Source organism: Homo sapiens, chromosome 10 (genome assembly GCF_000001405.40).
Source record: "Homo sapiens chromosome 10, GRCh38.p14 Primary Assembly".
Lineage (NCBI taxonomy): Eukaryota > Metazoa > Chordata > Mammalia > Primates > Hominidae > Homo > Homo sapiens.
The window spans coordinates 14,975,973-14,989,049 of NC_000010.11; the positions used below are offsets into that span (position 1 = coordinate 14,975,973).

Consider the following 13,077-nt stretch of genomic DNA (forward strand, 5'->3'; position numbering starts at 1 on the left):
TTCCAGAGGCAGAGAAGATATTACTGACAATAACGTCAACACGCTGTGACCACCGTGGATCCTAATATCCAGGGGGGGACCGGGGGGTGATATTACTCCCCGCATCGCGGGGGGCGTCCGCCCCCTTGCGACGGGAATCGTAATACCCAGGTGGGGAGAGGGGGTTGATATTACTCCCCGATTTTTCCTAGGATCTTTTCTCTACTGCCATCCTGGGTTCACACCCTGGGACATTATTTTCCATATTCTAGCAAGATGCCACTAGTAAAGTCACCGGGGTATACACCCTGCTGCATTATTCATAATATTAATTACATATTATTCATCGGGGAATATTAATCCTGATGTCACAGGACCGTACACACTGTGAAGTTATTCCCAGTATCCTAGCGGGACATTAAGAATAATGTCACAATGTGTGTATACCTTGTGGTGTTATTCTTATTCTCCTATGGGGAGGTTACTTTTATTGTCACACGGGCTATGTTCGCTTTGATATTATTCATAATATCCTAGAGGGATGTCACCTCTTATGTCACAGGGTTTGTACACCTTGTCAAATCACTCGTATTATCCTCATAAGATGTCACTCCTCATATCACAGAGGGTGTACACTCTGTGATATTATCGTCCTATTCTAGGGAAATGTGACTTTTAATGTCACAGAGGGTGTACACCTTGTGAAATTATTCGTTATAATTTTGTGGGATGTTACCCCTAATGTCACACGGGGTGGACACACAGTGATGTTCCATGTAATATTCTATAGAAATGTTACTCGTAATTCACAGGTCCTGTACACCCTTTCATATTCTTCATAATATTCCAGGAAAACGTTACTGCTAATGTCACAGGGCGTGTAGACCCTGTCATGAAATTCCTAATATCCTAGCAGGAGTTCACTACTCATTTCACAATGCGTGTACACACTTTGATATTATTCGTACTGTCCTGAAGAGATGTTACTACTGATGTCCCAATGCAGGTACATTCTCTGACATTATTCGTTATATCCACGGGGGATGTTACTTCTAATGTCACACGGGGTGTACTCCCTGTGTTCTATTTCCTAATGTCCTAGCGCAATTTTACTTTTAATGACACAGGGGTGTACACATTGAGATATTATTCATGATATTGTAGAAAGATGTTACTCCTAATGTCACAGGCGTGTACAGCCTGTGATAGTATTCATAATTACCCAGGGGTCTATACTCCTATTGGCACAGAAGATAACACCCTGTGACACTATTCGTAATATTCTAGCGAGATGATACTCCCAATGTCACAGATGGTGTACACCCCATGTTATTATTCTTACTCTTCTAGGGTGATGTTAGTCTTAATGTCACAGGCCTGTTCCTTCTGTGATATTATTGAAAATATGCTAGCAGGATATTACTACTAATGCCAAATGCGTGTACACGTGATATTATTAGTAATATTCAGGGGGGATGTTACTCATAAAGTTACAGGGATGTACACCGTGTGATATTGTTCCCAATATTGTAGGGGGATGTCACTCCTATAATGTCACAGGGGGTGTACACCCTTCGATATTATTTGTAATCTTATAGAGAGATATTACTTTAAATATCCCAGTGGGTGTACACACATGGGGTACACCCACTGGGATATTATTTGTAATTTCTTCAAGAGATATAACTCCTAATATCACAGTGGGTGTACCCCATGTGGGTATACCCTGTGATATTATTTGTAATATCCATGGTAAACATTACTTCTAGTAACCCACAGAGGGTACACCCTGTGATATTTTTCATAATATCATAGGGAGATATTCCTGCTAATAACACAGTGGGTGTACACCATGTGTGTACACTCTGTGATATGATAGCTCATATCCTAGGGAGGTATTCCTTCTAATATCACCGTGAGTTTACACCCTGTGATATCATTCGTAATATCCTAGAAAGATGTTGCTGCTAATATCACAGAGAGTGTGCCCCCAGTGACATTATTCGTAATATCCTGGGGAGATGTTACTCTTAATGTCACAGGGATTGTACACCCTGTTCTATTATTGTAATATTCTAGGGGGGTGTTCCTTTTAAAGTCACAGGGGTGTACACCCTGTAATGTTATTCGTAATATCCTAGGAAGAGGTTACTCCTAATATCACATGTGTTATCCTAGGAAGAGGTTACTCCTAATATCACACCCTGTGATACCACTCGCAATATCCACAGGGAATGTTACTTTGAATGTCACATGGGGTGTACACCCTTTGATGTTAGTCCTAAGACCCAGGGATATATTACTTCAAATATCACATTGGGTGTAGACACATGGTGTACACATTATGTATGAAAACGTACTGTGATATTATTCATAATATCCTTGGAAAATGGGACTGCTAATATCACAGTGATTGTCCACACTGTGATATTATTAGTAACATCCTAGGGGAATATTAGTCCAAAACCAAAGGCGTGTGTTCCCCCCATGATATTATTCGTAATACTCTAGGGAGATGTTACTCCTAATGTGATATCACAGGGGTGCACACCCTGTGATATTATTCACAGTATATGAGAGGGATATTAGCACTGAAGTCACAATGCATGTACACCTTGTGATATTATTCCTAATATCCTACGGGGATGTTACTCATATTGTCACAGGGGTTGTGTTCGCTGCGATAGTATTCGTAGTCTCCTAGACGGATGTTACACCTAATGTCACAGGGTGTGTACATCTTGTTATATTAGCCGTGATATCCTAAAAAGACATGACTCCTCATGTCACAGGGGCTGTATACCCTGTGATATTATTCGTAATATCCTAGCGAGATGTGACTTTTAATGTCACAGAGTGTACACACCTTTTGAAATTATTCATCACAGTTTCGTGGTATGTTACAACTTATGTCACACGGGGTGCACACCAAATGATATTACTTGTAATATTCTATAGAAATGTTACTCATAAATCACAGGTGTTCTACACCCTGTAATGTTATGGGTCGTATTCTAGGGGATTGTGACATAAATTAATGTCACCCGGCGTGTACACCTTGTGATATTATTCGTAATATCCTGGTGGGATGTTACTACTAATGCCACAATACGTGTACACCCTCTGATATTATCCGTTATATCCTCATGGGTCATTCCTCCTATGTCACATGGGGTGTACTCCCTGTGATATTATTCGGAATATCTCAGGGGGATTTTACTTTAAATATCACAAAGGTTGTACACGCTGTGATATTACCCGTGATGTTCTAGAAAGATGTTACTCCTAATGTCACAGGGGGTGTACACCCTGTGATATTACACAGGCTAACCCCCTGTGACATTATTCGTAATACTTTAGCGGGATGATACTCCTAAAGTCACAGGAGGTGTACACCCTGTGATATTATTCGGAATATTCCAGGGGGATGTTACTCCTAAAGTCACAGGTGTGTATGCCCTGGGATAGTATTCACAATATACTAGCGGGATACTACTACTAATGTCACCATGTGTGTACACCTTCTGATATTATTCGTAATATCCTGGGAGGATGTTACTCCCAACGTCACAGGGGTGTACACCCTGTGTTATTATTACTAATATTCTAGCGGGATTTTACTTTTAAAATCACAGGGGCTGTCAACCCTGGGATCTTATTTGTAATATCCTACGAAGATGTTACTTGTAATGTCACATGGGGTGTACACCCTGGGATATTATTTCAAATATCCTAAAGAGATGTTATCTTAATGTCATAGGGTGTGTACACCCCTTGATATTATTCCTAATATCCTGAGGAGATATTACTTTAAAAATCACAGTGGGTGTGCACACATGGTGTACACCCTGTGATATTATTCACAATATGTGAGGGAGGTATAACTTTTAATATCGCAGTGGGTGTACACACTGTGATACTATTCGTTATATCGTAGAAGTATATTATTTCTATTGTCAGAGGAGTTTAACATCCTGTGAAATTATTTGTAGTAATCCAGGGGGATAATTACCCTAAAGTCGCAGGCTGTGTACACCCTGTTATGTTATTCATAATATTCTAGGGGGATGTTACTCCTAATGTCGCAAATGTGTGCACGCCGTGATATTATTCACAATCTACTAGCTGGATATTGTTACTAGTGTCACCATGCCTGTTCACCTTGTGATATTATTCGTAATATCCTAAGGGGATGTTACGCCTATTGTCACAGGGGGTGTGGTTTCTGTGCTATAATTCGGAGTATCCCAGGGGGATGTTACTCCCACCATACAAATTGTGTACAATTTGTTATATTATTCGTAATATCCTAGAGTGATGTTACTCCTTATGTCACAGCGGTGTATATCCTGCGATGTTATTCTTCGCATTCTAGAAAGATGTTAACTTCTAATATCACAGAGAGTGTACAATCTGTGAGGTTATTCATAATCGTTTCCAGGGATGTTACTCCTAATGTCACACGTGGTGTACAAACAGTGATATCATTTGTGATATTTTATGGAAATGTTACCCCTAATATCGCAGGGGCTGTACACCTTGTAATCTTATTCAGAATATGAAGTAACGTACCTGCTGTCAGGAGATCTGAGCTTTTTTCTTGGACACATTATACCCACAGTCCTCCAGGTGTTGGCGTAGGGCAATCCGTTCTCTTGGCGCACCCGACTGACCTGGGGTGTCCCAGCAAAAGCTCAACCTACTGGAGCAAAGCGCAGCCTATGTCTCTGGTTGGAAACCTCTGGAGGTCTCGAGCCAACGCCTCACCGAAGATGGTGGGGGAGTTCTTGAACCTTTGGGGAAGACCGGTCCAAGTGTACTGAGTAGTGACACCTGACTCCGGACCTTCCCACTGAAAGGCAAAGAGCTTCTGCCTCTCAGGGGCTAATCTGATAGGAAAGAAAGCGTCTTTCAGGTCCAAGCAGGTGAAGCAGCTGTCCTCAGCTGGCAGCAACCCCAACAATGTGGACGGGTTAGGTACTGTTGGATGGAAAGTCAGTGTAGCTTGACGAAGCAAGCGCAAATCCTGTCCCGGCCTGTAGACCTTGGTCTGTGGCTTGGGAACAGGCAGGAGGGGAGTGTTCCATGGCGAATGACAAGGAAGTATCATTCCACAAGTTCTTAGGTGCTTGAGACGGACCTGGATACCTTGAAGAGCTTCTCTGGTGACCGGGTCCTGTTTTTGCCTAAGCGGCTGGGCCCCAGTCTTAACTGGCCAACTCTGGAGGGTTGTCTTCCGCCCGTACTCTTGGCCACCGCTTAGCCAGAGCTGGTCTTCTCTCTTGGCCTGGCTCAGTTCAGAAAAGTCTCCATTCCTCCTCTCGGGGGACTGTAAGGGTCATAATGACTCCCGTGGTGGGTAACTTTAGCAGCAAAGAGCTGTGTTCTGTCAAAGAGAGACTGGCTCTCAGCTTGCTGAGCAAGTCCCTTCCCAGCAAGGTCAAGGGACGGTCTGGCATGTACAAAAACTGATGAATGACTTGATGTCCTCCTACAGTACAAGTCCGAGGCGAGCAGAAAGCTTGCTTTGCGGAAACCCCCGTGGCTCCGGTGATGTCAAGAGTCTTTTTGGATAAGGGGGCGACCGGGGCGGTTACTAGCGAATGTTCAGCACCGGTATCTACAGGAAAATCAATGTCTCTACCCCCGACAGTCATTCTGACCAGAGGCTCTTTGGGGACGCTTGAGCCCGGTCTCCCTCAGTCCAATAACCCTTCTGCGAGGTTGAGCCGGGCCCCTTCCTCCTAGTCCAGGGCCTCCTGTTCTGAGTCATCTTGTTTTCTTTTGAGCTGAGGGCATTTGTTCTTCCAATGTCCTATTTCTTTCCAATAAGCACACTGGTTACACTGCAAACTCTGACAGCCAAGCTGAGTTTCTTTCCCAGGGCCCCCCTTCCCTTGCTTCTTTGGGGGGACCCCTCTGATTGCTGCAGCTAACAAACAGGTCGGCGTTTCCCCGGGCCTGACCTCCATTCTCTTTGCGCTTTTCCTCGCGGCTTACTGCATCCCTGTTTACAAACACCTGCTTAGCTCTTTCTCATCATTGTGATGTATTCACCCCTGCAAGCCCAGCCTGCTTCTGCAGTTTTCTTCTAAGGTCTTCCGCGCTTTGATGGATTAAAGCCATGTGAATCATGCGCTGATTTTCAGGGTTATCGGGATCGAGGGGAGTATACATATGATAGGCCTCACACAGTCTCTCGTATAATTGTGCTGGACTTTCTTCTTTTTCCTGAATGACCTCAGAGACCTTGTTAACATTTGTGGCCTTCTGAGCTCCCCTCATTAATCCTTCCAAGAGAGCTTCCCTGCCTCAGTTTAGCCTTTGCATATCCTCTCTTTCATGTGGGTCCAACTGGTGGTCGGTTCGTGGTACCTGGGTCCTTCCATACTCTTGGGGGTTTTGATAATCAGCTGGTGCATGTTCCTCTAGCCACTTAGTTGCTGCTTGGAGGACTCTTTGCCTTTCATCTCTGTTAAAGAGGAACATGAGCAACTGGTGGCAATCAGCCCAGGTGTGGTTGTGGGTCTGGATAACAGTTTGGAGCAAATCAATTAGGGCTTGTGGCTTTTCCTTCTGGGACGGGGTATTGTTTTCCCAGTTGAGAAGGTCAGCAGAGGTGAAGGGCTGGTACACAAAAACAGCCTCTCCACCACGTGACCATCCTCCTCTATCCCAGTATACCGCTGCTCTCTCAGGGGCATTTGGATCCCCGTTTTGGGTCGTAGACGAGCTGCCAAGGGAGGGGTGGAATGACGCAATGTTACCGCAATTAATAATATCAATTGTTAATTGATACTAATAATTATCAATATTAACAACTGATCATATAATTCTTAAAATCAATACAGATAATAATGAAAATTCATATTAAAGAGTTATACTCACGATAACAATAAATGATTAATATTAACGATTAATGATGCCTGGTATTAATAAGTGATATTGATCTTATTCATTAGAAAACAGTCATATTAGCTCCTAATAATTAATGTTAATGTTAATCTGAGCACTTTTTATGAGCAATTATTTCTTAATATTAATATTAATATTGGTAATAGATATTCCTGTTAATAATAAATGAGGAAGAATTAATATGAATATTATGCCTAATACCCCAGTGGGTGTACACCCACCTGTGATATTGCTCCTAATGTTCAGGGAGGGAGAGAGCATGATATTACGTTTAATATCGCAGTAGCTGTACACCCACCCGGTGATATTGATCCGAATATCATCTCCAGGGGGTGGCGTATGAAGTTACTCCCAAGATAGCACTGGGTGTGCATCCACCCGGTGATATTCCTCCTAATATTCACGGAAGAAGAGAATGCTATTACTCCCAGTATCGCAGGAAGTGCACAACCCTTCTGTGACATCGTTCCTAATATCCAGAGGGGGAGAGGGTGATATTACTCGCAATATCGCAGGCTGTGTACACCCACCCTCTGATATTCTTCCTAGCAGCCAGGAAGGGAGAGGACGATATGACTCCCCATACAGCAGGAGGTGTACACCCATCCTGGGATATTCTTCCTAATATCCATGGAGAGGAGAGGCTGATATGACTCCCAATATCGCAGGGGGTGTACATCCAGTCTGTGCTATTGTTCTTAATATTCAAAGGTGGAGAGGTTGATATTACTCCCAATATCACAGAAAGTGTACAAACCCGTGTACTATTGCTGCTATTATCCAGAAGAAGAGAAGATGATACCACGCCCCCATCGCAGGAGGTGTACACCCACTCTGTGATATTTTTTGTAATGTGCAGGGCGGGGGAGGATAATATTCTTCTTAATAGCGCAGGGTGTGTATATCCCCCCAGTGATACGGTCCTTAATATTCCAAGGGGGAGAGGTTGACCCTCCTCCCAATAGCACAGAAAGCGTGCACCACCCCAGGGATATTGTTCCCATGATCCAGGAGAGAAGAGGATGATGTTACTTTCAATATCGCATGGGGTGGACATGCCCCCAGTGATATTGTTCCTAATGTCAACGTGGGAGAGGATGATACTACACCCAATGCTGCTGGGGGTATAAACACTCCCGAGATATTGTTCTTAATATCCAGGGGCAAGAGGATGCTATTACGGCAAAGAGTGCAGAGGATGTACACCCGTGTATGATATAGTTGGTAATTTCCAGAGGCGGAAAAGATATTATTGACAATACCGTCAACACGCTGTGTGACCACGGTGGATCGTCATATCCAGGCGGGGAGAGGGGGGTGCTATTACTCCCCGCATCGTGGGGGGAGCCCACCCCCCTGCGATGTGGATCGTAATATCCAGGGTGGGAGAGGGGGGTGATATTACTCCCCGATTTTTCCGAGGAGATTTCGTCTACTACCACCCTTGGTTGACATCCTGGGACATTATTTTCCATTTTCTAGCAACATGCCGCTACTGAAGTCACCGGGGTATACACCCTGCGATATTATTCGTAATATTGTAGGGGAATGTTAATCATGTTGTCACAGGACTCTACACACTGAGATGTTATTCACAGTATCCTAGCGGGACATTAAGAAGAATGTCACAATGTGTGTACACCTTGTGGTCTTATTCTTCTTCTCCTAAGGGGAGGTTACTTTTATTGTCACACGGGGAAGTTTCCCTTTGATATTATTCATAATATCCTAGAGGGATGTCACCTCTTATGTCACAGGGTTTGTACACCTTGTCAAATTACTCGTATGATCCTTGTAAGATGTCACTCCTCTTATCACAGAGGGTGTACACTCTGTGATATTATCGTCCTATTCTAGGGAAATGTGACTTTTAATGTCACAGAGGTTGTACACCTTGTGAAATTATTCGTTATAATTTTGTGGGATGTTACCCCTGATGTCACACGGGGTGGACACACAGTGATGGTATGTGCAATATTCTATAGAAATGTTACTCGTAATTCACAGGTCCTGTACACGCTTCAATATTCTTCATAATATTCCAGGAAAACATTACTGCTAATGTCACAGGGCGTGTAGACCCTGTCATGAAATTCCTAATATCCTAGCGGGAGTTCACTACTCATTTCACAATGCGTGTACACCCTTTGATATTATTCGTATTGTCTTGAAGAGATGTTACTACTGATGTCCCAATGCAGGTACATTCTCTGACATTATTCGTTATTTCCTCGGGGGATGTTACTTCTAATGTCACACGGGGTGTACACAGAGTCACACAGTGATAGGAGTTGTAATATTCTAGAGATATGTTACTCATAAATCACTGGGGCCGTACATCCTGGGATGTTATTCGTAATATTCTAGGGAAATGTTGCTACTATGGTCACGGGGGTATACACCCTGTGATATGACTCGTCATATCCTGGCGGGATGTTACTACTAATGTCACAATGCCTGTACACCCTGTGATATTATTTGTAATATCCTAAAGGGACGTTACTAGTAAGGTCACAATGCATGTACACCCTCTGATATGATCGGTTATATCCTTGGGGGTGTTACTCCTAATGTCATATGGGATGTACTCCATCATATTAGTCGTAATATCCAAGGGAGATGTTATTTTTAATGTCACCGGGAGTGTATGTCATACGTATTCAATGCTTGTGATACTATTCCTAATATCCTAGGGGCATGATCTCCCTAATGTCACACGGGGTGAGGCGGTGTACATCGTGTGTGTACACCACCTGTGATATTATTCATAATAGCCTAGGAGGATGTTTGTTTGAATGTCACAAAGAGTGTACAAAATGTCACAGAAGGTGTACACCTTGTGACGTGATCTGCAATACCCTAGGAGGATGTTACTCCTAATATGTCACAGGGGTGTACATGCTTTGTTATTATTTGTAATCCCCTAGAGAGATATTAATTCAAATATCACAGTGGATGTACACACATAGTGTATACCCTGTGATAGTATTCATAATATCCTAGGGAGATACAACTCCTGATATCACAGTGCGTGTACCCCGGGTGTGTACACCCTTGATATTAGTCTTAATATCCAGGGTAAATATTACTCCTCATATCACACAGTGTGCACACCCTGTGATATTTTTCATCATACTTTAGGGAGATATTGCTTCTAATATCACAGTGGGTGTACCCCATGTGTGTATACTCTGTGACAGTATATTTTATATCCTAGGGAGGTATTAATTCTAATATCACAGTGGGTCTTCACCCTGTGATATAATTCTTATTTCATCTTGCAGCATTTTTTAACCATGAAATACAACATTAGCTGGGCGTGCTGGCGCATGCCTGTAATCCCAGCTACTCGGGAGGTGGAGGCAGAAGAATCGCTTGAACCCAGGAGGCAGAGGATCTGGTGAGCCAAGATTGCACCATCACACTTCAGCCTGGGCAACAAGAGCGAAACTCCATCTCAAAACAAAAAACAAAAAACCAGCATGATTTCAAGAGCAGAAAGAGAAGACCTTAAAAACCAGCATAATGAGAAAGTTAGGAAGTTTCTTACCAAACCATCTGGAATTGTGCAAGAAATTCTTGTGAAGTAAAATTTTCATACTGTACTATCAAACACTAGAACTCACTTATTCCATCTTTCTGTATTTCAGGACCCAATTATCCACTTGTCTTCATTCCCCATCCCATCCCTTTTCTTCGTAGCGTCTGCTAACCTCCTTTATACTTTCCACCTTACTCAGATTCCTTTTGTATGTAGGTGTATGATGGAGTCTCTTTCTGTTGCCCAGGTTGGAGTACACAGGCACAATCCGGGCTCACTGCAAGCTCCGCCTCCTGAGTTCAAGCGCTTCTTGGGCCTCGGCCCTGCGAATAGCTGAGACTACAGGCAGGCGTCACCAAGCCTGACTAATAGTTTGTTTTTTCCGTAGAGACGGGGTTTCACCATGTTGGCCAAGCGGGTCTCGAACTCCTGGACTCAAGTGATCCCAGCGACTCAGCCTCCCAGAGTTGAGAAGTTGAGAGGGGTCACAGACAAAATGAGAGATTTCCACATTCTTGATGATGGTGAATTGTCACACAATCCAACCGTGCAGCTGGGAATCCAACAGGCTAAGGAAAAAGGACACCAAAACGAAGAAGACACAGAGGTGAGGATTCATGATGACTGGGTAGTGCAGAGGGAGACAGATGGCTACAAAGCCGTCATAGGCCATCACAGTCAGGAGCATGCATTCTATACATGCAAAAAAGGACCAAGAAAGACATCTGTGTCAGGCAGCCCGCATGAGAGATGACTCTGCTATGCGACTGCATGTCCACAGTCACCTTGGGAACCGTGGCCGAAGTGAACCCGATGTCAGCCCAGCACAGGTTGGAGAGGAAGAAGTACATGGGGGTATGGAGGGGGGAGTCAGAGCTGACAGCCAGGATGCTGAGCAGGTTCCTCAGAACCATGACCAGATACAAGGACAGGGACAGGGACAGGGACAGCAAAGCGAGGACAGGCTGCAGTTCTGGATCCTCTGAGAGTCCCAGGAGGAGGAATTCTCAGACACCTGTGAGATTCCGTGGCTCTGTGTGTCTTGGACACCTTGAGAAGGAAAGAGGATTGGAAAATAAAAGGTAAAAACCAGCCCTTAATGTTGGATGCAAGCAATTCACAAGGAACATCTTTACACTTGCAGACCATACACCACCAGCAATGTTTCTCAGTTGTGACAATTCCAAAAATCTCAGAATTTTTACGTGATTTACTTTTTAGCTATACGAGGCTTTCTGTACATACTACTTTAGAGAAAATCCACTGAAGAATATCAGAAGACCAAAACGTCGTATATAACAAATCCGTGATCTCCGTAAAATACGGCCTACTCTTTTCAGAAAAAACACAATGCAATGAAAATATCCTTCTCTCTTTCAGAAAAAGATCTCAGTCTAATTGAAAGAAATTAAGAAGCCGTGAAATACACTCTACTTTATTCTGACACCGTGCTACAACTTCCATTGATGTAGAATATGTAAAAGGACGACACGAGAGCTACGACCCCATTATCTGAAAACGAAATCGAACCTTATAGTTCTCAATGGGAACACCTTTTCACATACCTGTTACTTTTCATATTTATTATCATCCTTCGGTTTTCTGACATCACTTCTTCATAAAAGTACATGCACACTTAAAAATGGGAGCTGTGTTTCCAAATGAATTGAATCTCTAACTCTTGGCCCAGCACCATGGCTCACAACTGTAATCCCAGCACTTTGGGTGGCCGAGTCTGATGGATCACCTGAGATCACGAGTTCCAGACCAGCCTGGCCAACGTGGTGAAACCCCGTTTCGAGTGAAAATAAAAAAAATTTAGCCAGGCGTGGTGGCGGGTAACCCCAGCTACTCGGGAGGCTGAAGCAGGAGAATCCCTTAGAACATGGAAGGCAGAGATTGGACAACATGTGATAGGATTTTTGATATCCTAGGGAGATATTGCTCCTGACAGTAGAGTGGGCGTACACCCTGTGATATTATTTGTAATATCCTAGAAAGATATTGCTCCTAATATCACGGTGGCTCTACACCCTGTGATATTAATTGTAATATCCTACAGAGATATTACTCCTAATAATACAGTGGACGTACAACCTGTGATATTATTCATAATATATTACAGAGATACGACTCCTGATATCACAGTGAGTGTACACCATGTTTGTACACCCTGTGATCTTATTTGTAACAACTTTGAAAAATATTACAGCTAATATCAAAGTGGGTGTACACCCTGCGATGTTATTTGTTATCTACTAGGTAGATATTACTCCTAATATCACAGTGAGTGTACACCATGTGTGTACAGACTGTGAAATTATTTGTAATACCCTAGGAAGATATTACTCCTCATATCACAGTGGGTGTACACTGTGAGTGATTTTTTTTCTATTATCCAGCGGGGGAGAGGATGATATTGCTTCCCATATCACAGAAGGTGTACACCCCCCTGTGATATTGTTCCTAATATCCAGGGAAGGAGAGGATGACATTATTCGTAATATCACTGGGGGTGTACCACCTCCCGCCGGGATATTGTTCTTAATATCCGGAGGTGGAGAGAATGATGTTACTCCCAATATAACAGGGGGTGTACACCACCCCTGTTTGTAAACGCCCCCTGTGATATTGTTCCAAAT

The 13,077-nt window shown here is 43.4% G+C and overlaps 1 protein-coding gene and 1 pseudogene across 1 annotated transcript in view; one reads left to right on the forward strand and one right to left on the reverse strand.

The window, feature by feature from the left end:
- MEIG1 (meiosis/spermiogenesis associated 1) overlaps positions 1-12,078 on the forward strand; it is a 33,823-nt gene extending 21,745 nt beyond the window's left edge. Inside the window, exons 2-3 of the transcript NR_147060.2 lie at positions 10,824-11,042; positions 11,816-12,078. The gene's annotated coding sequence lies outside the window, so the exon portion shown is untranslated. The remainder of the gene's footprint in view (positions 1-10,823; positions 11,043-11,815) is intronic.
- OR7E110P (olfactory receptor family 7 subfamily E member 110 pseudogene) lies at positions 10,904-11,499 on the reverse strand (annotated as a pseudogene).
- Positions 12,079-13,077: the final 999 nt, after the last annotated feature.